At 45.6% G+C, this 25,300-nt stretch overlaps 1 protein-coding gene, 1 long non-coding RNA gene and 1 pseudogene across 3 annotated transcripts, besides 1 other annotated feature; 2 read left to right on the top strand and 1 right to left on the bottom strand.

Moving 5' to 3' along the window:
• Positions 8,421-9,017: an enhancer, noted in NCBI's record as "H3K27ac-H3K4me1 hESC enhancer chr8:48090614-48091210 (GRCh37/hg19 assembly coordinates)". NCBI's record gives its function as "activates a minimal SCP1, AML or CMV promoter by ChIP-STARR-seq in naive H9 embryonic stem cells {active_cell/tissue: H9 hESC(naive)}" and the evidence as "EXISTENCE:reporter gene assay evidence [ECO:0000049][PMID:30033119]".
• Positions 17,803-22,812, top strand: LOC124900251 (proline-rich proteoglycan 2-like). Of its 2 annotated transcripts, none has more exons than XM_047422516.1 (2): positions 17,803-19,382; positions 20,403-22,812. In XM_047422516.1, exon 1 carries the CDS (start codon positions 17,925-17,927, stop codon positions 18,663-18,665), a length of 741 nt encoding a protein of 246 aa, XP_047278472.1. In that variant the 5' UTR covers positions 17,803-17,924; the 3' UTR covers positions 18,666-19,382; positions 20,403-22,812. The 2 variants fall into 2 exon arrangements, with proteins under 2 accessions (XP_047278472.1, XP_047278473.1); XM_047422517.1 differs by having other exon boundaries at positions 21,153-22,812.
• On the top strand, positions 18,737-22,692 carry LOC100287846 (uncharacterized). The gene has a single exon (NR_037168.2). It is a non-coding gene; the product is annotated as an uncharacterized LOC100287846 (long non-coding RNA).
• On the bottom strand, positions 23,433-23,779 carry ATP6V1G1P2 (ATPase H+ transporting V1 subunit G1 pseudogene 2; annotated as a pseudogene).

The following is a 25,300-nucleotide window of genomic DNA, read 5'->3' on the forward strand; positions in this document are numbered from 1 at the left end:
GAACAGTTGTAATGCCATCTTTGTCATTTCCAATTCTACTTATTTGGATCTTTAATCCAGCTAGCAGTGCATCAATATTGTTTATTTTTCTCAGAGAAGCAACTCTTGGTTTCATTAACCTTTTGTATAGATTTTTGCATCTCAATTTCATTAAGTTCTTCTCTGATTTTAGGTATTTATGTGTTTCTTACAAGCTTTGGGGTTGGTTGGTTCTTCGGTTCCCAAGTTCTTTTAGGTGCCCAGTTAATTGTCAATTTGAGATCTTTCTGACTTTTTGATGAAGGCATTTAGAGGTATAAACTTCCTCTTCACACTGCTTTACTTGTGTGAAGAGAAATCCCAGAAATCTCTGGTAAGCTATGTGCCTATTTTAATTAATTTCAAAGTTTTTTTATTTCTGCCTTAATTTCAATGTTCACCCAGGATTTATTCAGGAACAAGTTGTTTAATTTCCATGTATTTGTGTTGTTTTAAGAGATCTTAACTGCTATTGGTTTATATTTTTATTGCACTGTGGTCTCACAGTGTGCTTTGTACAATTTCAGGGTTTTTTTAATTATTTATTGAGACTTGCTTTATGGCTGAGCATATGGTTCATCTTAAAATACGTTCCACATACAGATAAGAAGAATGTGTATTCTGTGGTTGTTGAGTGGAGGATTCTGTAGAAGACTATTAGGTCTAATTGGTCAAGTTTTGAGTTTAAGTCCCACATTTCTTTGTTAATTTTCTGCCTTAATGATCCGACTAACGCTTCCGTGGGGAGGTGAAGTCTCCCACTACTATTGTGTGGTTGTCTATGTCATTTTGTAGGACAAGAAAAACTTGTGCTATGAATTTGGGTGCTTCAGTGTTGGGTGCACATATATTTAGGATAGTTAAGTCTTCTTGTTAGCCTTTATCATTATGTAATACTGCCTTCCTTGTCCTACCTAATTTTATTGGTTTAAAGTCTGTTTTATCTGATATAAGAATTGCAACTCCCGGCCGGGCACGGTGGCTCACACCTGTAATCCCAGCACTTTGGGAGGCCGAGGTGGGTGGATCACTTGAGGTCAGGAGTTCGAAACCAGCCTTGCCAGCATGGCAAAACCCCATCTCTACTAAAAATACAAAAATTAACTGGGCGTGGTGGCACCCACCTATAGTCCCAGCTACTCGAGAGGCTGAGGCAGAAGAATCGCTTGAACCTGGGAGGCAGAGGTTGCAGTGAGCCGAGATCGCACCACTGCACTCCAGCCTGGGTGGCAGAGCAAGACTCTATCTCAAAATAAATAAATGAATAAATAAATAAATAAAGAATTGCAACTTCTAGTCCAGATGCAGTCACTAATGCCTATAATCCAGGCACTTTGTGAGGCCAAGGCAGGTGGATTGTTTGAACTCAAGAGCTGGAGACCAGCCTGGGCAACATGGCAAAACACCATCTCTACAAAAATTAGCCAGGCGTGGTGGCAGATGCCTATAGTCCCAGCTACTTGGAGGCTGAGGTGGGAGGATCACTTAAGCCTCAGAGGTTGAGGCTGCAGTGAGCCGTAATCACAACACTACACTCAAGCCTGGGTAACAGAGACCCTATCTCAAAAAAAAAAAAAAAAAAAGAACAGCGACTCTTACCTGGTTGACATTTCTCCACCCCTTTACTTTGAGCCTGTGGATACTGTTACATGTGAGATTAATCTCTTGATGATGGTTGGGTCTTGTCTTTATATCTAGCTTTATATCTATCTTGCCACTGGATCAAAGATTTAAGTGTAAGACTTTAATAGTTAAGTCTTCTTGTTAGCCTTTATCATTATGTAATAATGCCCTTCCTTGTCCTACCTAATTTTATTGGTTTAAAGTCTGTTTTATCTGATATAAGAATTGCAACTCCCAGCCGGGAAACTCTAGAAGAAAACCTAGGAAATACCATTCAGGACATCAGCCTTGGGAAAGAATTTATGACTAGAGGCCGGGCACGGTGGCTCACACCTGTAATCCTAGCACTTTGGGAGTGCTGAGGTGGGCGGATCACCTGAGGTCAGGAGTTCGAGACCAGCCTGACCAACATGGTGAAACCGTCTCTACTAAAATTACAAAAAATTACCCTGGCATGGGGGTACGCACCTGTAATCCCAGCTTCTTGGGAGGCTGAGGCACGAGAATTGCTTGAACCCAGGAGACAGAAGTTGTAGTGAGCCAAGACTGTACCACTGCACTCCAGCCTGGTCAATAGAGTGAGACTCTGTCTCAAATTGAAAAAAAAAAAAAAAAGAATTTATGACTAGGTTCTCAATAGCAGTTGCAATAAAAACAAAAATTGACAAGTGGGACCTAATTAAACTAAAGAACTTCTTCACAACAAAAGTAACTATCAACAGAATAAACAGAAAACCTACAGAATGGAAGAAAATATTCACAAAAGTCTAATATCTAGCATCTATAAGAAACTTAAATCAATATGCAAAATACGAATAATCCCATTAAAAAGTGGGCAAAAGGCTAGGCACAATGGCTCATGCCTGTAATCCCAGGACTTTGGGAGGCCGAGGCAGGCAGATCACCTGAGGTCAGTAGTTCAAGACCAGCCTGGCCAACATGGTGAAACCCTGTCTCTACTAAAAATACAAAAATTAGCTGGGCATGGTGGCAGGTGCCTGTAATCCCAGCTATTCAGGTGGCTGAGGGAGGAGAATCGCTTGAAGCTGGGAGGCAGAGGTTGCAGTAAGCTGAGATCATGCCACTGCATTCCAGCTTGGGCAACAGAGCAAGGCTCTGTCTCAAAAAAAAAAAAAAAAAAGAAGAAGAAGAAGAAAAAAAAGGTGGGCAAAAGATGTAAACAGACACTTCTGAAAAGAAGACATACGAAGCCAACAAACATATCAAAATGTTCAACATTGTAGTTTCCCAGGCAACAAGCGCAGATAGGACCACTGTGGGTGGGGGGGATGAAAACAAGAAAAAACACTGCAGCATTTCCATTAGGCTTAAGAAATGCATTTTAACTGTCAAAATGTCACAGACAATAATATTGAAAGTCACTTCGCTGGAAATGATTCAAAGCAGAATGTCACTTTCATTATGGAAAGCAAGGTGTGAAAAACAGAAAAATGCATAGAAATAGGTGATCAATATTATTTGATTTTACAAAATTTATCTACATTACTGTGGATTTTTAATATGCCTCCTTACCTTTCTCTGCAAATATAACCTTGCATTAATTCAACATAAAAAGGAGAGTCATCCAGGATGATGGGGCATCATAGAATAGAGTGTATGCCTGAACACCATTTGGAACAATGATAAGCTCTTACCTGCTCAGATCTTCATTCAAATGGTAAACCACACATTCCAAAACTGAGATTCAAACATAACAGGGCCGTTCATATTCATGTGTGGCTCCAGTTTCCTCATTCATAACAACAACAAAAAAAGCTTAGATTCAATCTTAAAAACCTTTCTGACTCTAACAGCTTTTGATTTTTAGAAATAAAGTTTAGAAGGTCCCTTTTGTCTAGAAACACTGCTTATAAAATAAAGACTACATTATAGGACATTTAAAAACTTTTTCTTTATAGGACCTAATTGTTAACAGTCAACCTTTAGAAAATAATACTTGAAATCCCCTACTACACAACTATTAAAGTGTCTAAATTTTGCACCAAGTTTTGTAACACTGATGGCATTTACTTTTTTTTTTTTTTTTTTTTTTGATGGAGTCTCGCTCTGTTGCCCAGGCTGGAGTGCAGCGGCATGATCTCGGCTCACTGCAAGCTCCACCTCCTGGGTTCACGCCATTCTCCTGCCTCAGCCTCCCAAGTAGCTGGGACTACCGGCGCCGGCCACCATGCCTGGCTAATTTTTTGTATTTTTAGTAGAGACGGGGTTTCACCATGTTAGCCAGGATGGTGTCGATCTCCTGACCTCACGATCTGCCTGCCTTGGCCTCCCAAAGTGCTGAGCTTACAGATGTGAGCCACCACGCCCGGCTGAATGGCATTTACTCTTATATCCATGTAGAAACATATAATTGGATTAACAGAAATGTGTTGAGTGCCCTTAATCTACATTTTCACACAATATGTCACTATAATATTGTGAAATAGTCTATATTTTCTTCCAAAGAATCTTTTCAGTCAAATGTTTAGTCAATTTAGGAAGTTAGGTTAACTGACTAATTCAGTCAAAACTAGCAATGTAGTAGCTGCAGACAAATACTACTAAAGTGTTTTTTTAATAATTCACCTCTCAATGATTGGTAAATAAGAAAATGAAAAGCAAAATGAGAAGGTGAAAAGCAGTCACATGTTCACCGTTTTCCTTTCTACCTTGAATACCCAACAAATCAAGATTAACGTTTATAATAATTAATTCATCTGAGCCAATCACCTGTTATTAAACTTTATCAGATCAATGTTAATGCCTCAGTGAATCAGCTGCATTACTGGCGTGCCCTTGAATATCTAGTTGCACTTGTGTATGTTTCCCTTTTGTATACACACTTACTCTCATATGAAAGCTAGTATAATAAAAACATCCCAGTTATAAGCGACTAAGTCAATAATTCAAAGGCACAGTAAATTCCAAGAAATGGCAGCACATATACACGTTGACTTATTCCAATGTCTGCAATCAATGCAAAACAATGTGACCTGTCTGTGCTTGACACAAGGGATCTCTAGTCCTGGCTTATATCACTGAATGAGACCAGGTTATTAAATTTTCAGGAATTTTTGAGAGTTAATTGTTAAATAAAGTCATTATTAAAATGCATTATATAAACTTCCAACTAAATTATATTAAAACAATACCTACAACTCCTCATATTCTAATTATTTTACTATATTTTATTATCTATGCTCATGATGCATCTACTGCATCTATATGGCAGAAATATCATATGATGGTGTGCTACCATGCATCTCATCCCAACTCATCATTCAGTGACATCAGCTTGGTAGCTTGAATCTGACCATGACAATCCTATTTACAACACAGAAATGTGCAAATACTACCAGCCATGTTTTTGTGTTTTTCAGAGAGTCAGATGTTACACATTTACCAGCACACCACTGGATCTACAGAACCCAGACAAGTTCCCCACTCTCTTGTAGTCACCAAAAATACAAGATACTATGGGACTAGGTAGTAAGTCTATGGGATCAGAAAAGGCCTACCAGAGAAAATGTTACTTAAGCAGAGTCCTGGGGAATGAGTCAAGGTTAGACAGGTGGGCAATGAGGACACAGAAGAAGTTTTGCCGAGCAAGGGGAAAATAGCTTGCAGGAATGAGACTCATCCAAGAAATTCAAAGAAGCCAAGGGTGCTAGTTATGGGGTAGAAAGAACTCAGGCAAAAAAAAAAAATTATTACTCACGATAGCAAAACACACTTGGCCAGGGCATGGTGGCTCACATCTGTAATCCCAGCACTTTGGGAGGCTGAGGTGGGTGGGTCACTTGAGGTCAGGAGATCGAGAATGTAGGGGTGGGTTGCCCCTCCACACCTGTGGGTGTTTCTCATAAGGTGGAACGAGAGACTTAGGAAAGAAAAAGACACAGAGACAAAGTATAGAGAAAGAAATAAGGGGACCCGGGGAACCAGCGTTCAGCATATGGAGGATCCCGCCAGCCTCTGAGTTCCCTTAGTATTTATTGATCATTTGTGGGTGTTTCTCGAAGAGGGGGATGTGTCAGGGTCACAAGACAATTGTGGGGAGAGGGTCAGCAGACAAACACGTGAACAAAGGTCTTTGCATCATAGACAATGTAAAGGATTAAGTGCTGTGCTTTTAGATATGCATACACATAAACATCTCAATGCTTTACAAAGCAGTATTGCTGCCCGCAGGTCCCACCTCCAGCCCTAAGGCAGTTTTTCCCTATCTCAGTAGATGGAGCATACAATCGGGTTTTATACCGAGACATTCCATTGCCCAGGGACAGGCAGGAGACAGATGTCTTCCTCTTGTCTCAACTGCAAGAAGCATTCCTTCCTCTTTTACTAATCCTCCTCAGCACAGACCCTTTACGGGTGTCGGGCTGGGGGACGGTCAGGTCTTTCCCTTCCCACGAGGCCATATTTCAGACTGTCACATGGGGAGAAACCTTGGACAATACCTGGCTTTCCTAGGCAGAGGTCCCTGCGGCCTTCCGCAGTGTTTGTGTCCTTGAGATTAGGGAGTGGTGATGACTCTTAAGGAGCATGCTGCCTTCAAGCATCTGTTTAACAAAGCACATCTTGCACCGCCCTTAATCCATTCAACTCTGAGTTGACACAGCACATGTTTCAGAGAGCACGGGGTTGCGGGTAAGGTTATAGATTAACAGAATCTCAAGGCAGAAGAATTTTTCTTAGTACAGAACAAAATGGAGTCTCCTATGTCTACTTCTTTCTACACAGACACAGTAACAATCTGATCTCTCTTGCTTTTCCCCACAGAGAACATCCTGGCTAACATAGTGAAACCCCGTCTCTACTAAATATGCACAAAAAATTAGCCAGGCGTGGTGGCAGGCACCTGTAGTCCCAGCTACCCAGGAGGCTGAGGCAGGAGAATGGTGTGAACCCAGGAGGCGGAGCTTGCAGTGAGCCGAGATCACGCCACTGCACTCCAGCCTGGGCGACTGAGCAAGACTCCGTCTCAAAAAAAAAAAAATTAGCTGGGCACGATGGCATGCGCCTATAACCCTAGCTACTCGGGAGGCTGAGGCAAGAGAATCACTTGAACCTGGGAGGCGGAGGTTGCAGTGAGCAGAGATCGCACCACTGCACTCCAGCCTGGGCAAGAGACTCCATCTCAAAAAAAAAAAAAAAACAACACTCAAATTCATAACTATTTAAAAACACTGTGAAGCTACTAAAGGCTTTTAAGCATGGGGGTAGAAGGAAGAGAGGTGAGAATTGTTAAACAATCACACTTGACTGAACTGGAGAACGGACAAAAAGAGTGTCCAAGAAAAGATGCAGAGAAAAGTGACTAGAAGGCAGTCCCAGCGACTCCAAGCTTTCCTAATAACATACCACTAACAGCAAAATCTTTCTTAGCATGCAACCATATTGCATTTTTATTTAATGATCATTTAAGTGCTCTGCTCCACTAATAGAGATATTATTATACACATACAAGGAAAAGGAAATTTTTAAATGTGAGATAAAGTATAGATATATGTAAAGTTCTGATCTCTATTTCCACACTTCAGTGGTTCTGCAGCCCACTTCACAGACCACTGACAAAGCCAGCTTTGGGAGATGGAACCTAGGATGTATAGGCAACAGGACTTGGTGAGGGCCACATGGAGCTGGGGCCAGATGCCACTCTCAGGGAAGACCTAGCTCATGCTGAGACACCCACAGTAGGAAAAACCTCTTCAAAACTTGGCACCATGGCTGTGACGAAATTTCCCCCAGTTTGCCTACCAAAGACATCACAATGGTTGGGCAAAATTTTCTAGCACTCTATTTCACCAGGGGCAAACAGAAAATGTTAATGTGTGTATGTCAGTGTGTTCATGTGAGTGTGTGTGTGTGCCTGTGCATGTACATGTGAGTATGTGTGAGAACACAAGTGTGCACATGAGCATGTACGTGCATACACATGTGCATTTGTGTATATGTGTGCATGTGAATATATGTGTATCTTGAGTATGTGAGCATGTATCTATGTTTGCACATGAATGTGCATGTGTGTTTGCACTCACCAATCTGGGTGCTGGTTCATGAGTGGGAAGACCCACTGGTGTCACTCAAGGCTTTTGATAACAAAGAACATTTTTTTCTTCCCAGTAAAAACAGAACCCAGCCCTCCAGAGGTGAGTCACACCCTCTCAACCTCTCTCCACCCCCTCGTTGTTTCCCCTATCTGATCTGCCCCTCCTTCTCTCTCCTTCAGAATGTTTTCTATGTGCAGTGTTTTCTCACCTTAGATTGCTCTCTCCTTCTTTCAGCCTTCTAATCATCTTGTCCATTCTTTCTGTTTCTCACTCATATTTGTCTCTTGTCATCACTCTCCTCTCCTCTCTCCTCTGTCTCTCTCCCCTTTCCCTCTCTTTTCTTTTCTCCTCTCCTCTCCCCCACCCTCATTCATCCTGTGGAGTCTGAAGCCGTCACACCACAGATTTTCCATGTGAGCAGAAAATGGAGACACACGAACAACACACCTCTTCACAGATTCCATGGATGGGCCACAGAGGTAATGGTAAGCTGCAGAACACCGAGTCCCCTTCTCACCACGCCTCCTCAACTGGGGCTGTGGGGCCTGCAGGTGGTTCCTCTGTCCCAGGTGCCTTTCCAGAAAGACACAAGGGGATAAGAGATTTTCTTCATTCATGGTTTTAAGGAAACCGATATCCATATGCAACAGAATGAAATAGGACCCTTCTGTTACACAACAAAAAATCAACTCCAAATGGGCTTAAAACCTCAATACGGCTGGGCACGGTGGCTCACGCCTGTAATCTCAGCACTTTGGGAGGCCAAGGCAGGCAGGTCACGAGGTCAGGAATTCAAGACCAACCTGGCCAATATGGCGAAACCCGGTCTCTACTAAAACTACAAAAATTAGCCAGGTGTGGTGGTGTGCACCTGTAGTCCCAGCTACACCGGAGGCTGAGGCAGCAGAATCACTTGAACCTGGGAGGCAGAAATTGCAGTGAACTGAGATTGTGCCACTGCACTCCAGCCTGGCCAACAGAGCAAGACTCAGTCTCAAAAAAATAAAAACCCTCAACACAAGACCTGAAACCATGAATCATCGTAAAACTGTAAGAAACTACAGGGGGAGCTTACTTCCAGGACAACTTGAATCCAAGCTCACAGGGTGGAAAGGAGAGAGAGAGAGAGAGAGAGAGGAGAGAGAGAGAGAGAGAGGAGAGAGAGAGAGAGAGAGGAGAGAGAGAGACAGAGGAGAGGAGAGAGACAGAGGGGGGAGGGCAGAGAAGAGAAGAGAAAGTAAAACAGGGTAAGATCTCATTTTAAAACTGGGCACCAAAATCATAAGCAACAAAATCAAAAATCGACGTGCAGGGGCTACAGTAAACTGAAAAGCTGCTGCACCGCAAAACCCATGAACTCCCTGCGTCAAGTGGGGGTGACGAGAGGGACAGGAGGGGACACGCGCTGCCGGGGGTGGAGAAAAGTGGCCCTTGTGCCCCAAAGGTGGGAACTCAGATAAAAAAATCAGCAAACCCTGGAGGTGACTAGGATCCTTTTTCTTCCGTCTGAGGCTTGGACCCAGCGCAGCCAAACTCCGACCCTGGCCTGGGCGGCTTCCCCTTCCTCCCAAGGCCGGAGCTTCCCTCTCTCTGTCTACACGGGGGAGTTTCCCTCAGAAAGAGTCCTAACGTCCTGAAGTATCACAGCCTCCTATGCTGCCACCCTCCAAAGCCCTCAGGGAATGAGAACTACTGTAAAATAAATACTAAAATGCTACCAGATTAAGATGAAAAGGAGAACCTAACAGGAAGAAACAGAACATTCTAGAAAACGAAAGCTTCTGTACTCACCATGAAGGAAAAAACGCCCGGGAGAAACCCGCAACACGAAGAAGCCACACCGAAGTTCCGTCTTCAGCAGTCAGCTACTGACAGGAGCTGTTTCTTCCCCAGGGCGCAGCCACAAGTCGTCCCGAACCTGCTGCAGTGCCGGAGAGTCCTCAGGGAACTGGAGCGCTACTTCTCCACAGTACAGACGCCACGCTGCACATCACACCACTGACACCATGCACACCACGCACACCACACATACCACGCTGCATCTGCGCAGAGAACACGCATGCATACCACATGGGGGGCAGAAAAGGCGGTTTGGCGATCCCTGCCGGTCACATTGCGCAGTGCAGGCTGATTCCACCTCAAGGTCTCCATCAGCCCAGGCCATGGCCCCAACCTTTGGTTTTTGACCTTGGAATTACTGCTAACGGGGAGAGGAAGGCTGACAGTGTTTTCCACACAAATTATTTCTCCTGCACGTCCTCATTACAGAAGCAGCTACAATAACGTCCACTGGCACACACAGGCCACTACCCTCTGTGATGGGCCAGTGTTGGGGGCAGTGATCAGGTTTTGGGGATGGGATGTCGAGGCAGCAGAGCGACACTGGGAAGGGTCCATGGATCTCGGCCCAGCTCAGAGGCTGGCGGCGGGAGGCCTGTGGCTGAGCAGCAATGGACCATATGGTTGACTTTGGAAGCCACGGGCACTGTCCTGGCTAAGGGACGTTGAGAAGGGGATGCAGGTGGGAAGCAAGGCCTCAACTCCCTCCCTCTCATCTGGATTTAACTGATCTTTGGCTGGTTCCATTAGGTGCGTGCTTGCAACCAATACCTCCCCGGGGGCCTGCTGAGCTGCAGCCTAGGAGACACTGGGCAGCCAGGAGGCTGCTTGGCAGCAACCCTGGTCTGCAGGGGCTGGGAGACCTTCCCTTGGCTCCTCTCCCCTCCAGCAGGGGGTGGAGAAAAGTGGCCCTTGTGCCCCAAAGGTGGGAACTCAGGTGGGAGAAAGCCAAGCAGTGCTCCCTTGGCTTTCTGGGGGCCCCATGGTACTGGATTCCCACCAACCTTGGGTTTTGGAGATTCCAATCCCCATGTGTTTGGTGGCATTTCCCCTTTTCTCTCTTGTTTTCAAGGCCTTTACCACGAGCGGCCCTTTATCCATGTTGTTCACCAGGCCTGCCCCACCCCAGCTCCCTAGCCAGCACAGGAGCTGCCGGAGACCAAGCCCTGAAACACCCCCATCCCCACCCCCTTGCAGCCTTCTCCACACTGTTCCCACTGGCCTGATGCCTGGGGAGTTCCTCAGTTATGCCTCCCCAAACCCCAGTCTAGTGGGCTGAGGCAATACTTCCTCCTCGAAGTGGCCCAGCTGAGAACGAATGATGCCCTCCAGTGCGCAGTCAGGCTGAAATGGGCTCTTTGCATCCACAGTGGAAACCTAGAGGTAAGTAAGTTCGTGGGGAAGCAGAGTTCTAGGTCTTCTATGCCCTGAAAGGTTTATTTTCAAGACGGCTGAGCAATCCAGCTTTCTACAGAATGAAGGAGCCAGGTATCCAGCATTCGAGACCCATGGAGAATGAGAGGAGGTAAGAGAGGATGATCTTTCAGCTGTGGAATGCTCTTTGGCACAACCTTTATGGGAGGGGATCAGTTCTGGTTCTGCCATAGCCCCAGCTGCCCCTCTCCCCAAGCCCCTGCCAGTGAGGCTGACCCTTTGAGCTTACTTCATAACAGTAATTAACCCTGCCATACTCATGGACTTTGTCGTCTTGGTTCTCCCATCTCCCTTTCTCCTGTGACAGGTCCATTGCTGGCAGTGGACTGGTGAAGTCCTCACTCCAGCCTCCTTTCAGCTCTGCCCCCCACTCCCCAAGGGGAAGGGTCCATTAGAAAGTGGCTCATCCCATGGTACATGGTTTCTTCATAGCCACACTGGGACCCTTAGGTAGAAATTAACCTTCCCCCTTTATGGATCATTAAAAAATGGTAATAGCACCTGTGGAGAGAATGTCCTCTTCCCTGCTGGCTGCCCCACCCAGACCATGCAGATAGCAACACCCAGGGTACAGGCTGGGGCAGGGTATAGTGGGATGGGCAGCAATGGTCCCCTAGGTCTGGAGAAAAGTCTGCAGACTGTGCCTTTGGCAGGATCTTTCTGCAGTTAGCTCTGTCCAGGGAAGAATGAAAGGCATTTCCCAGCCTGTCTCCTGGGCAGGCGCCTCAAATCCAGGGATGAGCTACATTCTGAAGGGGCCAGCCCTCTTTTTGATTTTATTGTGTCCCCAAATCCAGGGCTTTTGGGGGTGACAGGGAATCAGGCTTCCAGTGGGGATATATTGCTTTTTATCTATAGGTGGAGAAGATTCCAGAAGAAGAATATTGTCTGACTTCCCTGTTCTCTCTGGGCAATTGGTTCCTTGGTTCTCTCCCCAGCTCCATGTTGTCTCAGTCTCCTGTACCCCAGCACCCCTCCAGGCCTTCCATGTGGGCCCCTAGATCACGCTACTCACCTTCACACACCCACAACTGAATTCATTGACTAGCTTGCTGATACCTCATAATTCTCAGCCAGAGCAAGCCCTCGGATGACCCACCAGGCCTTGCCACTCCAGATGTTACCTTGTGGGCATTCCTGGCACCATTTTCCCTCTGGGTCCTATAAGCTCCCAAATGCAAGAGGTCCTGGAGTACACCTGTGTGCCTGGCAACATCCAGCTCTGTGTTTCTGCTCCATTGAGGTGTCTCATTGCTTCCATTGCCCCTCGTAGGGCACCAAGCCTCTAGCAAAGGGAGGCAGCAACCCCCGGCCTGACCACTGGATCTGCAGGTTCAGATCTCACCAGGGATAGCCCAGACTTCAGCTTGCTTTTTTGAGTATCAGGGCCCCAGTCCCTTAGTGCCCAGGGACTCAGAGTTTGGAGTAATCCTAGCCCTGACAAGAAGTAGGGGTGCTGGTGGGGAGTATCTGTTGGCTGTTCATGAACCTCTGGTTTCCCAGGCCTCTCTCCACTGGACATGGCAGCATCTCTGAATTACAGATTGCAATGTGCTGCCCTGCACGGTTGAACCATTTCTGATGCTTACTAGGCATTCTTTCCCATGTGCCCTGTCTCCTTTTCAATGCCAGTGACTTCCAATGGCCTATGCTTATTCACAGCAATAGTACCTAGGGAGTGCCCATGAAGCCCTTTTGTCCTGGTCCCTTGGTCTGCATGGGTTCCCTGGGGAGGCAGCTGCTGAGTGGGTCGGTTCCTGGGAACCTGCATTTAGGAAGCTCTGGGCTGTGCAGGCATCACCCTGGGATTCAGACAGGTGAGAGGCCCAGCCCTTAGAGGAGCTATGTCAGGGAGAGTGCCTTCCACCCTGAAGCCACCCTAGACCTGGAGGAGCTGCAGTCCCCTCCTCTGCTAAAGGGCCTTTGAGGAGAGTGGGGCTGACTCCCAACTGGGCAGCTCTTGAGAAGGACAAACGGCTGGTTTGTGCACCCATTGTCTGCTCTGTGTCTCCGTTGGTCCCTCTGTCTCTTCCTTTTCACATTTCTGCACATAAAATATACTGGCGTTTGTGTTCCACAAGGCAAATGTCCACTCTTTGCCTTGTAGACACTCAGCGGTTCATTTGCTCCTCAGATATTTTTTAACTCAGTGCTGGCTCATTGGCAACATGACCTTAGCCTTGCCTCCCTATGATTCGTGCTCCCAGAGCTTCCGGTTGATCCTCTACAACACACATACCGAGCCCCTGCTCCTCTACCCCAACCCTCTCCCATCCTTCAGTGGCTCTCACTGTCCTACAGCAGGGGTGGCAAATCTCTAGTGCCCACCCAGTACACTCTAGTGGAGTGTACTGCTCCACCCCTGCAGTACAGGGGACATTGCTAACTGATCTGTCACTTTTTGCCCTGATGCCACCTCGGAATCTTTTTCTTTTTTTTTGAGATGGAGTCTCACTCTGTCTCCCAGGCTGGAGTGCAGTGGCGCAATCTCAGCTGACTGCAAGCTCCGCCTCCGGGGTTCACGCCAATCTCCTGCCTCAGCCTCCCGAGTAGGTGGGACTACAGGCGCCCGCCACCATGCCGAACAAATTTTTTTTTTGTATTTTTAGTAGAGATGGGGTTTCACCATGTTAGCCAGGATGAGTCTCGATCTCCTGACCTCGTCATCCACCCACCTCAGCCTCCCAAAGTGCTGGGATTACAGGCATGAGCCACCGTGCCTGGCCCCACCTCGGAATCCTTCTTAACACATGCTCTGAAATTAGCACACTAGCAATGAAATGAAGATGACTTATGAAATAAAACCCACAGGTCATCCTCTGTACTGCAAGGTGGAACTCAATCTCTGGAGAGTGGCATTCCAGGCTTTTCATGACCCCTCCAGCCATTTCCCTTCTGCCCTCTCCAGGCTCTCTAGTCCCCATTCCATGCCTTTGCTCCTCCTTTTCCATCTGTCTAGAATGTTCTTCATCCCCTATCTCCTGGCAAACTACTCCTCATGCTTCAAGACCTCTGTGAAGCCTCTTCCCCTCCCCCAGCACTCATGTGCTCTCTCTGACTCTGTCTCTCTCTCTCTCTCTCTCTCTCTCTATATATATACACACACACATATACACATACGTACATCCATATACCTACACATGCACCTATTACTGACTATCAAACCCCAGGAAAGCTTACTAGCAAGGTCACTGAGAGTAAGGATGCTGCCTCACTCAGTGACCAGCAGTGACTCATATGTGCATGTGGAATCACCGTACAAAGAAAATGTAGGTTCTGTGCTTGCAAATGGCCCTGACCTTCATGGCACTACAGGGTGGATGATTAGCTACTCACAACACAGATGCAGAAAAGGGTCCATCTTTACCTGCCCCAGTATCGAGAAAAAGCAGTATGCATTCATTAACTGCACCTTTCAAAGTACTGTCCCGCCACATAGAGTTTCTGCTCCCTATCTTCCTTCAATAAATTCCCTCTTTTTTGGTTAACTTGTCTCTTGGCTGAAATCTTTTTCCCAATACAAACAAAGGGCTGAGGATTTCTGCACTTCCTAGTACCACTAATATAGCCACAGAAACTTTCTGTAAATGGTTTCATGGTATGTTTTTTCCATCCTGTTATTTTTAAGGGTTTTTTTTTTCTTTTTTTTTTTTTTGAGTCGGAGTCTCGCTCTGTTGCCAGGCTGGAGTGCAGTGGCGCAATCTCGGCTTACTGCAACCTCCGCCTCCTGGTTCAAATGATTCTCCTGCCTCAGCCTCCCAAGTAGCTGGGTGTCTGCCACCACGCCCAGTTAATTTTTTGTACTTTTAGTAGAGAAAGGGTTTCACCATGTTGGCCGGGATGATCTCGATCTCTTGGCCTCGTGATCCACCGCCTCGGCCTCTCAAAGTGCTGGGATTACAGGCGTGAGCCACCGCACCTGGCCTTTTTTTTCCATTTTAATAAGTACACTTAACATGAGATCTCTTAACATGAAATCTACCCTCTTAACAAAATTTTAAGTACATTATACAGCATTGTTAACTGTAAGCACAGTGTTGCACAGCACATCTCTAGAACTTACTTATCTTGCATAACTGAAGCTTCATAGCCCTTGAGCAGTGACTCCCCATTTCCTTCTCCCTCTGCCCCTGGCATTCTACTCCACTGCTGTTAGGCTGACTATGATAGAGACCTCACACAAATGGAGCCAGGCAGCATTTTTTCTCCTGTGACTGACTTATTTCACTCAGCATAATGTGCTCCAGTGTTATCCATGTTGTAGCATATGGCAAGATTTAATTCTCTATGAATTTGAATAGTATCCCATTGCATCTATACACCACATTTTCTGTAAACATTCATTGATCAGTGGACCTTACATTGCCTCCCTGTCTTTGAAACTGTGATTAATACTGCAATGAATAAGAGTGTATCGATATTTCTGCAAGATCCTAACTTCCATTCTTTCGGATGCATACTCAGATGTGTTCTTTGTTTTAAGGGTATATATTTTTATTTAGTTTGTCAATCCAAGTGAGAGCCTGGCAGGGCTCTATCACTTCAGTCACAAGAAACTGAGACCTGCCCCTCATCTCTGATTTTCATAGGTTTTGTCTCACCTCTCAGCTTCCTGCCTCCTGTGGATTGGGATTCCATATCTGTCATAACAGGGATTAGTGTGGGCTAGAAATCCTCGGTCTCCTGTTTCTTTTCCATCCCTGTGATATCATAAATTATGAATTTGGTCTTTGACCCCATTTCCCATCATACAACTCATAAAACGTTTAGAATTACTGAAGTGATGCCTTTTTGTATGCCACTGAGATGACTGATGGCCAGCAGTCCCTAGGTAGCTTCAGGATAGGGGCCAGTCACCAGAAAGACCAAGGCAGGGTTAGAGGATAGGGACTTCCAGCCTTGTCTCCCAACCTCCATGGAGGGAAGAGGGGCTGCAGGTTAATCACCAGTGGTCAGTAGTTTACTCCATCAAGCTTGTGTGATGAGGCCTCCATAAAAACCCAAAGGGGGCTGGATTGGGAGAGCTTCTCGGGGACTGAACACATGAAGGTTACTGGATGGTTGTGCACCTCTTCCCATACCTCACCCTATGCACCTTTTCATCTGTGTCGGTTATATCCTTTATAATAAACCAGTGAATTTAAGTAAGTGTTCTCCTGAGTTCCGCAAGGCATTCTAGCAAATTAATTGAAGCCAAGGAGGAGTTGTGGGATCCTCAGTTTATAGGTCTTTGGTCAGAAGCACAGATGAAGCAACCTGGGCTTGTGATTGGCATAAGAAGTGGGGCACAGTCTTCGTGAAAGAGCCCTCAAGCTGTAAGATCAGACCCCATCTTCATGTAGATAGTGTCAGAACTGAGTTGAGTTAGAGGACACCCAGGTGGGGTCCACTACAAAACTGATGGCTTGCTTTGTGGGAGCGAGAAATCCCCACACATTTGGTCACGGAAGCCTTCTGTGCTGATTGTTGTGGTGACAGCAGAGCAAAGGCAGTCTGTGCTCTTTCCACTCAGCCCCGAAGACACTGAATGACACTCATAGCGCTTTCAGCGTCCTAGGGCATGGGCAGGTGTACTTTCACTGTGTAGCCTGTCTTTTCCTTTGTGGCGTCCCAGTCGTCCATCCTGGGGCATGTTACCGATCCACTTGCAGACAGTCTCAGAACCTGCAGACTTCACAGGCTGCCTTATAGATAAAGAGCACTAATGTGCATGAGTTTCCTCTTTGACTCCACAAACCTCAACACCTTTCCCCTGGGCCACATGCTGACTACTCCCCTAACCCAAAACTTGTCCTGAGACATGGGCACAAACACACATCAAGGTCACATGCCCAGACACATGGGATGACCAGAGTATTTTCCACCTGAGCTTCCTGCCTTTGTGGCAATGACTGGGCTGAGATGATTTATCTTAATAGTTAAGCATAAATATCGGGGGGATAAAAGGTTACCAATTCAGTGAAGGTCTCAGATCGTTGCTCCAGCAAGGAGAAGTGCCTGCGTTTCCCTTATTCTGGCCTTAGTGACAAGAGGAGAGAAGGGATCTAGGGGTCCTAGAGGAGATCAGACAAGAGGCTTGGGCCTCGTTTCCCTGGGGGTAGGGGCCCTGGGCTGCACTGGGCTCTGTTCACCTCCTGAATGGGAATGCTCACCCTCAGCCTCAGACAGGAGGCCAGAGTAGTAAGGGAGGCCACCAGGCCAGACCTGGAACAAGAGCTCCCACAGAGACCCCTGAGCGCTGTGGGAAACAGCAGGCGTCACTGTATGGGGCTTCTCCTAGGAGCTGGGGACCCAGGCCACAGTGTCCACAGGACTCTGCTGCTTGCTCCAGTGCAGAAGGAGATGACCCTCAGTTCTAGAAGATGGGGCTGGCTGAGTGAGTGCAGAGTGCGGGCAGGACCCTAAAAGGGCACCAGGGCCACCTCTGCCAGCACAGAGGCTGACACAGGGAGGGCGCAGCCACCCCTGCATGGTGACAGTGACTGGTGTTTCACATTTACCAATCCCTGCTTCTGGCATCTGAGGGTCCTGTGCTGTCTCCTCTGCTGACACCCACCTGCGCACCATCTCAAGGGAAAACACATACAAACACACAATAATAAAATAATGAAATGGCCCACAGAACCTATCTACTCGTTGTTGAAATTTTTATTACTTTCCTCAGGTTAGAAAATATTTCACCATTTGCTAACCTGCACAATGTGCACATGTACCCTAAAACTTAAAGTATAATAAAAAAAAAAGAAAAAAAAAGAAAATATTTCACCATTTGTTCAAATTACCTCCTGTATTATTTGCTGAGTTTTGTGGTTGTTTTCTTTTAGATACATTGGAAGTTTATCATTTTAATGAGAGTAGAATAATAAACAGTCTGAAATTTTAAGGAGTTACATAAAAAGCAATATAGCCTTTTCCTCTTTCGCTTGCTGTCTCCCCTTCCCCTCCTTCTTTCTCCAAATGGAGGGAGTTCTTTTTTTCTTCTTCCATCTCATCTACTCAATAACGGAGCCGCTGCAGCCGCTGCACGCTGCACACACACGGCACAGTCCCTGGGTCCGGGAGCCAGAGCAGCGCCACTCGGAGACGGGATGGTTCCGTGGGTTGTGTAGGAGCACAGGAAAGCGGAGGCCGGGCCACACAGCACCGCGAACCCAGCAGCCCAAGCCCAGCGGACCAAGCAGCCACCCCCGGGAGCCGCCACTGCCTGGAGCAGTCACCGGCGGGAGCCTCCATTTCCAGGAGCCGCCACCGCTGGGAGCTGCCACAGCCGGGAGCCGCCACCGCCAGAAGCCTCCATCTCCCGGGAGCCGCCATCGCTGGGAGCCGCCACCTCCAGGAGCCGCCACGGCCACCGGGAGCCGTCACCGCAGGGAACCTCCATCTCCTGGAGCCACCACCGCTGGGAGCTGCCACCTCAGGAGCAGCGGCAGCACTGGGACCCGCCGGGCCCCCTCGCACCCAGCGGCTCTGCAGGTGCCCTACACCCGGGAGGGGCCGAGGGAGCCCACGCCGCCGGCGGGACCGCAGGGATTTGCTGGCTCTTTCTGCGCTGAGGGGTCGCGGCGCGGGGCGGAGGTCGGGTGGGGAAAGCTGGAGCCGCAGGGAACGCGCAGGACAGGCTCGCTGGGTGTCGACTCTAGCCCTCTGTCAGAGACCTTGGGACCCGCGCAATGTGGCAGTGGAAGGCGCAGGGTCTGACCCCGGCCGCGGCCGCCGCAGCAGCTGATCTGTCAACCCCGGCCAGAGCCGAGCCGCCTGAGGCCTGCAGTGTTCTCCATCACCACTGTGATGGCATCCGCTTCCGTGACTGTCACTGTGCACCCTCCGCCTGTCCTGGGCCCACGCAGGACCCCCAAGCGGGGCTCTGCACAGGCCAGGAGGGCTACCCAGGGACTGACCACGGGTTGTTCATGGGTCCTCACCTGCTTTTCCAGGTCCAGGGTGAGAGGACGAATTTGAAGGTAGAAGTCACAGAGTTGCAGGATGTGGAGTGCGAGGAGTGGCCCCGGGGAAGCAGCTCCAACTGAGGGTGATTAAAATCTGAAGCAGGCCGGGCGCAGTGGCTCACATCTGTAATCCCAGCACTTTTGGAGGCCGAGGCAGGTGGATCACCTGACGTCAGGAGTTCGAGACCAGCCTGGGCAACATGGTGAAACCCCGTCTCTGCTAAAAATACAAAGTTAGCCAGGCATGATGGCGAGCGCCTGTAATCCCAGCTACTAGGGAGGCTGAGGCACGAGAATCGCTTGAACCTGGGAGGGGGAGGTTGCAGTCACCTGAGATTGGACCATTGCACTCCAGCCTGGGCAACAAGAGCGAAACTCCATCTCAGAAAAAAAAAAAAAAAAAAAAAATCTAAAGTAAAGAGGTCAAAGATCGGAAACCCCTGCCCCTACACCTTTCAAGAACTGCTTGGTAAGAACTGCTCGTAGTTACGGTAAAGATGCCTTGAGCCAGGATAGCAGTACATTGTTGCTGTAGCTGGTTGTATTATTTTGTTAAACATTTCCATAAAGATTTAAGAGGTGTACACATGTGTAATATAGGAAGGAAGGATGTAAAGTAGTATGATCTGGGGCTTCTCCACTCCTGCCCCAGATTGTGGAGGCTGCAGTGGGGCCTCTCCTTATTTTTGCATTGGTCTCTGTGCCACAACCAAGCTTCACTTCGTCTTGAATGTCAGCATATGTTGCTGCTGCTTAAATATTTTATAATTTCAAAAAATTAGCTGGGCGTGGTGGTGGGCGCCAGTAGTCCCAGCTACTCGGGAGGCTGAGGCAGGAGAATGGCCGTTAACCTGGGAGGTGGAGCTTGCAGTGAGCCGAGATTGCGCCACCGCACTCCAGCCTGGGTGAAAGAGCAAGACTCCGTCTCAAGAAAAATAATAAAATAAAATAAAATAAAATATATTGTATAATTTACTTGTATAATTCTATGTGAATGTTGCTTATGTAATAGGATTATTTTGTAAAGCTTTCTGTTTAAATATTTTAAATTTGCATATCACAACCCTGTGGTAGTATGAAATGTTACTGGTTTTTTTTTTTCTTTTTTCTTTTTTCTTTTTATTTTTTATATTATTATTATACTTTAAGTTCTAGGGTACATGTGCACAACGTGCAGTTTTGTTACATAGGTATACATGTGCCATATTGGTTTGCTGCACCCATCAACTCGTCCTTTACATTAGGTATTTCTCCCAATGCTATCCCTCCCCCAGCCCCCCACCCGAAATGTTACTGTTAACTTTCAATCATGTTATGCATCATAACGTTTTTTGTTTAATGAACAGATATGAGCAAAGGACGTTAATCCCGGTATCTTCTCTAGTTGTAGTTGTGTGTGGTTCTCGAGTGGCTGCGCATGTGAACACGTGTGATTTCTCAGTGTACTGTACTGTGATTTGTTTTTATTGCTTGTTTTGTTTCCCCTCAGTGTCTGTAACCCTTAGCAGGCTCTGACCTAGTCAGGCTAGAAGAAGCATAAGGATCTTTTATTGCTTTGTGCTGGGTGAGGGCTGGCCCTAAACATCTGCCTAATCCTTTCAACGGGCCCAGGAAAAGCCAGACTGGCATCATGTCCACAGCATCGCTTAATATCGTTGGTTGTCATCCAGACACCTCAACTTGTGCTGCAGAGGAAATAAGTTCCTTCTCACGGATCATCATGATGGATATTGAAACCTCAGGGTGCAGAACTAACACCTGTTCATCATCGTGGATGTTAAAGAATTGGGTAACATGCCAAGCGGTAAGCCTTGGATGGGCCATGAGAATATCCTCTAAAAAGCACGCAGTATTGTGCCCCTCTCACAACCAACACACACATGACCTGTCCCCTGGCACCCCCAAATTTAAGAGTGGATTGCAAATCTTTTGGAGACCATGGCCCTGCTACATGTAGAAAAACCTGTTCTGCTATTCCTGGGCCCACAATAAACCCAGAAATTATGTTTTGAGTTACTGTGATTTAAACTCCCTCTCTTCTTAAATGGAACAGCTCATTGGGGCTTTCTGGATCTGTTTCCATTTTTCTTTAAAAATAAATTGTGAGCATGCATTGTGGTGATGCAGAGGCAGGCATTCTGTGAGATACAAGCTCCAGAAGGATTCTCCTCAATGTGTCAGTGTTGGGATGCACACTTCCTAAATAAATCATCATTGTCTCCGTCTTCTCCATTAATAGCGCTCTTTCAGTGTGACATGGAAAAGCAGGATGGCATACACCCCACTGAAGGATGTAGGCGGAGGCAGATCTCTCAACCAGGCATATTGCTTCTGTACTGCTCTTCTTTTGCTCTAAGGTATGGGTTCCCTCAACCTCTTAGCTAGAGACCAGCAAATGTCAGGGAAGCACCCGGTGTCTGGCTCCCCTTCCAAATCAACACCAGTGTCTTGTTACAGACAAGAAGTCAGAGGAAAGGGCGGGGTCCCAGCAGGGCAGAAGCCTAAGCTACTATGAGGCACTCACAAGTGGCAGCTCCTGTTACTCCCTCTTAAATTATGTGGGAAATCTTAACGGAAGGGCAATGGGCCCCAGGAATACCTGCAGCGTAGTGACCTCAGATCCTGATACTCACCATGAAACTCTAAGATACTGATTGGAAGCGACTTGTGGCTGCTGGCTGTGTGTGTGACTCTGCCGGGGACCCTGGCAGCCCCCCTGTAGCTGTCTTGATGCCTCTCTGTCACCCACATCATCTGCCTACTTAACGCCCAGCTCTGCTCAGAAAACGTTATGTCCTGTGTCGAGGAGAGACGACGCAAAATTCTGAAGTCCATTTCCCTCTGGCTCCTGGCATACCCTCGCTCCTTTTCTGAGCCCAGCTCGTGGTGTGCCAGAGCCTGTGTGGTCCCCTGACTTCTGCACAGTGTAGAACTTTCTCCAATAGTCACAATGGCAAAGGGAGAACTGGGGGGCTGGCAGGTAATTAGAATTTCTCTCCCTCTCTCTTTTAATACTTTCATTTTGAATGTCTTATTTGTTCATGTGTATGTTTTAACTTAAAAAATTCTTTCTGATATTTTTAATTTTGTGTCATAAGAATGTTTTCCTCTACAGTATTTGTCATACCAGTTTATAACCACAGAAATGCAGAGATTTTATTTCTATTGGAAACATTACTACAGCTATGTTTTACTTTTGAACAGAATTTTTACTTGTATAGGGTGCTTACTAATGTTAAATAGTTTGGAGTATATAACATTTACATTAAGGACTCATGGTAGGTTAAAACCCTAAAGGGTAAGGGGTTTAAAGGAAATAAATATTCAAACTGAGTCTTATTGCCAATTTTGGTGTAAATGAGTTTGTGTCATTTCAATTACAAAGATAAAAGTATGCCATATAATTTATGTAAAATTTGTTTTTGTGGTGTACATAATAGTTATCAAGTCTGTTGACAGAAGTATATTTTAAAAGAATATACATGTGATGAATCCATAATATCTGAAACTTTGCTGAGATATGAGTGGGGCACACTTCATTGTAAATTACAGCAAGGAAAGAAATTAAGGAAAGAAGTTAAGAGAGTGAGAGTGAGTGGATATTCACACAATTGTGAAATGTTTATTAGTTACCTTTTGTGATGTAGTGTGGTTCTCATTTTAAACCTTGGAAGGTGAAAATGTACAAACTATAAATATGAATGTTCAAACACTGACAGAAATTCTAATATGAATTAAAAAATAACGAAAAAACAACAATATATTTTATCTTACTAATTATGAACTTGGTTATTCTATTATTCATTCTAATGAATATTTTAAGTGATGGTTTAATTTTATTCACATATAGTTGCCATTAAAAGGTTAACTCTCTCATAAAAACATTTTTTCTATTTTAACATTCTTTGCCTCTCATTTTTTCCTTTCTTGCACGACAGAGTCTTTACTTTTAAATTATTTTCAGTACACCAAGTAATAACATGAATTCTATCACATAGTAATTTTGATTAAGAGAAACTAACAGCAGCCTAAGCAATTACAGCAGTAGTCACTGTTCTAAGCCTTGGAAGGAATGGACTCCTTTAAGGCTGGCTGCTGCTTCACACAGGTTACATATAACTATTTACCACTTTTTCATTGACCTTCAAGAAAGTATTAGAGGAAAAATACTTAATCCCTTCCTTTCTTCAAAGATTGTTTTGTTGTTGTTGTTTTACTAGATCTAAAAAAGAAAAAGTCAACATTGCTATATGTTACTTGAGCCAAAAGGCATAGGAAAACAGACAGCACATAACCATTAAATTCCTAAGAAACATGAAGTAAAAGGATGACACATTTAGTTCTATGTCTGCACAAGAAACTGGATTTGCTGCTCTCCATAAAGTGAAGGGACCAACTATACAACATACAGAAATAATTAAATGCCTTCTCATTAGAATATAACTAGAGCTTGCTAAAGTTTCTTATTTCATGAGGGCAGCTAAAATGCCAGTCCATGGAACAGGCGCTTCTCCTCCTATCCATTTATGCCGTAGTTTTCATGAATTTCTGGCTGGATGCCGCAAAGGCCAAGAGGTTATCCACACCCTCTTCCCTGTTCCGCTGAAAGTAGGTCTGGAGGATGGTCATTTTATCCTGGGTCTCCTCCACTTCCGTGCTGCAGCTGCCTTGGGGTCCCAGTGCCACAGCTTCCTTGGCCTTGAACTCTTTCTCCCTCTGCAGGTGGCACTATTCAATTTCAGCCTGAACTGCCACTTTGGCCTGCTTCAGCCTCTGGTTCTTTTGGCTGCAGGCCTCTGACACCTTCTCAACGGCCTGCTTCTCAACCTGCAGCAGCTGCTGGATGCCCTGTGACTGACTGGCTATGACAGTGGTGATTCTGAGACCAAGGCAAGTGGCCTAAATCAGTTCAAAGGACCCTGGGGTCAGCTGACCCACCCAACCACAGTCTGCACCTGCGCCCTGCCACCTCTCATTTCTTACAAGTAAGTCACCACCACACAGCAGAAATTTTATAAGTTATAGCACAAAGTGAGCACATTAAGTATTTTTAAAATCTTTAAAATATGTCTTATAAGTAATCTTACACAGTGTGTTACCTATTCATATGTTACATCTTAACAGATGTATTTGGACAATCAGATTTCCTTCACATTAAAGATGGTGTTGATATTTTTCCAAGAAGGTATTTTAAACCTGTTAGGGAAGTTTCTATAGTGTGGAACAATTCTTCTTTATAAAGTGATATTTTATGCATGTTATTAAAATATCAAATCAGAAACTAGATCAAGCTCTGGGAAAACACTTCATTTACTTTTATATTATTTATATCTGATGCCTACTATAAATTATTTGCTGTATCTGTGCAGATACTCTTAACTCATAGAAACAGATATTTCTGAATATACATTAAAACAGATTATCTTTGTACGCTAACATTTATTTTAATAAAAGAAATTGGTAAGAACAACATGTTACATGTTGGCAAATCTAAGAGCGCTCAGTTTGACTCTCCATCATAGCACTCACAGAATTTACTCCTGTGCTCACTAGACACAATTTCTATAAGGAGAAAGTCTGTTTTATTCACCAACAAATAGCCAGCATCTGACACAGGAGTACGTGGCACAGAGCAGGTGTTCAGTAAATATTTGTCAATAATTGAACAAACATTTTCTCCAGCAAGTCAAAAAAAAGTGACCTTAAATAAATGGAACGAGAATAGCAACTGTTTTATTATACAACAAAAGGAGCTTTTTGCAAACATTCTAGGATTACTTATCATAAGTAGGTGAAGAGTGCAACAAAAGTAATTTCCTCCAAAAATAAATAAATTCTCATAATGGGAAAAAAAAAGATAAACAGTGACACTTTATTCTACAAGCCTAGTAAGTAATATTTACAATATAAACTAATTTTAAACCACCAGAATGCTAAGTAAGGCAATTCCAAAACTATTGTTTCACAAATTTACTACAGAACGCATTCTCGTTCTGACAACACTCCTAACCTTAGATGAATATACTTTTTAACAACGTTACTGAACTCATAATATAAAACGTCTGATCAATTTATCATTTTTATCCTTGAATCTATGTTAGAGAGTTTTAAAGATAAAAGAAACGTATTAGATTCAAGTCATTTTAAAAAATTGTGTGACTTAAAACAGCTATTACATAATTAATACATTTGGAACAGCATTGATTGTTTTCGGATATATGTATTTCACATAGCATTGTTGGAATGGTGGCCACAACCTGCCAGCTCACACGGCTTTATCTGCCCCAGATGCTGATGGCCACCACAGTCACCACTGGGCCATGCAGGGGAAACTCCAGTGCCTGGGTTTCACAGTGCCACTGCCAGACCACCTGCATGTGAGGATGG

The sequence above is a fragment of the Homo sapiens genome, chromosome 8 (assembly GCF_000001405.40).
Source record: "Homo sapiens chromosome 8, GRCh38.p14 Primary Assembly".
Classification (NCBI taxonomy): domain Eukaryota; kingdom Metazoa; phylum Chordata; class Mammalia; order Primates; family Hominidae; genus Homo; species Homo sapiens.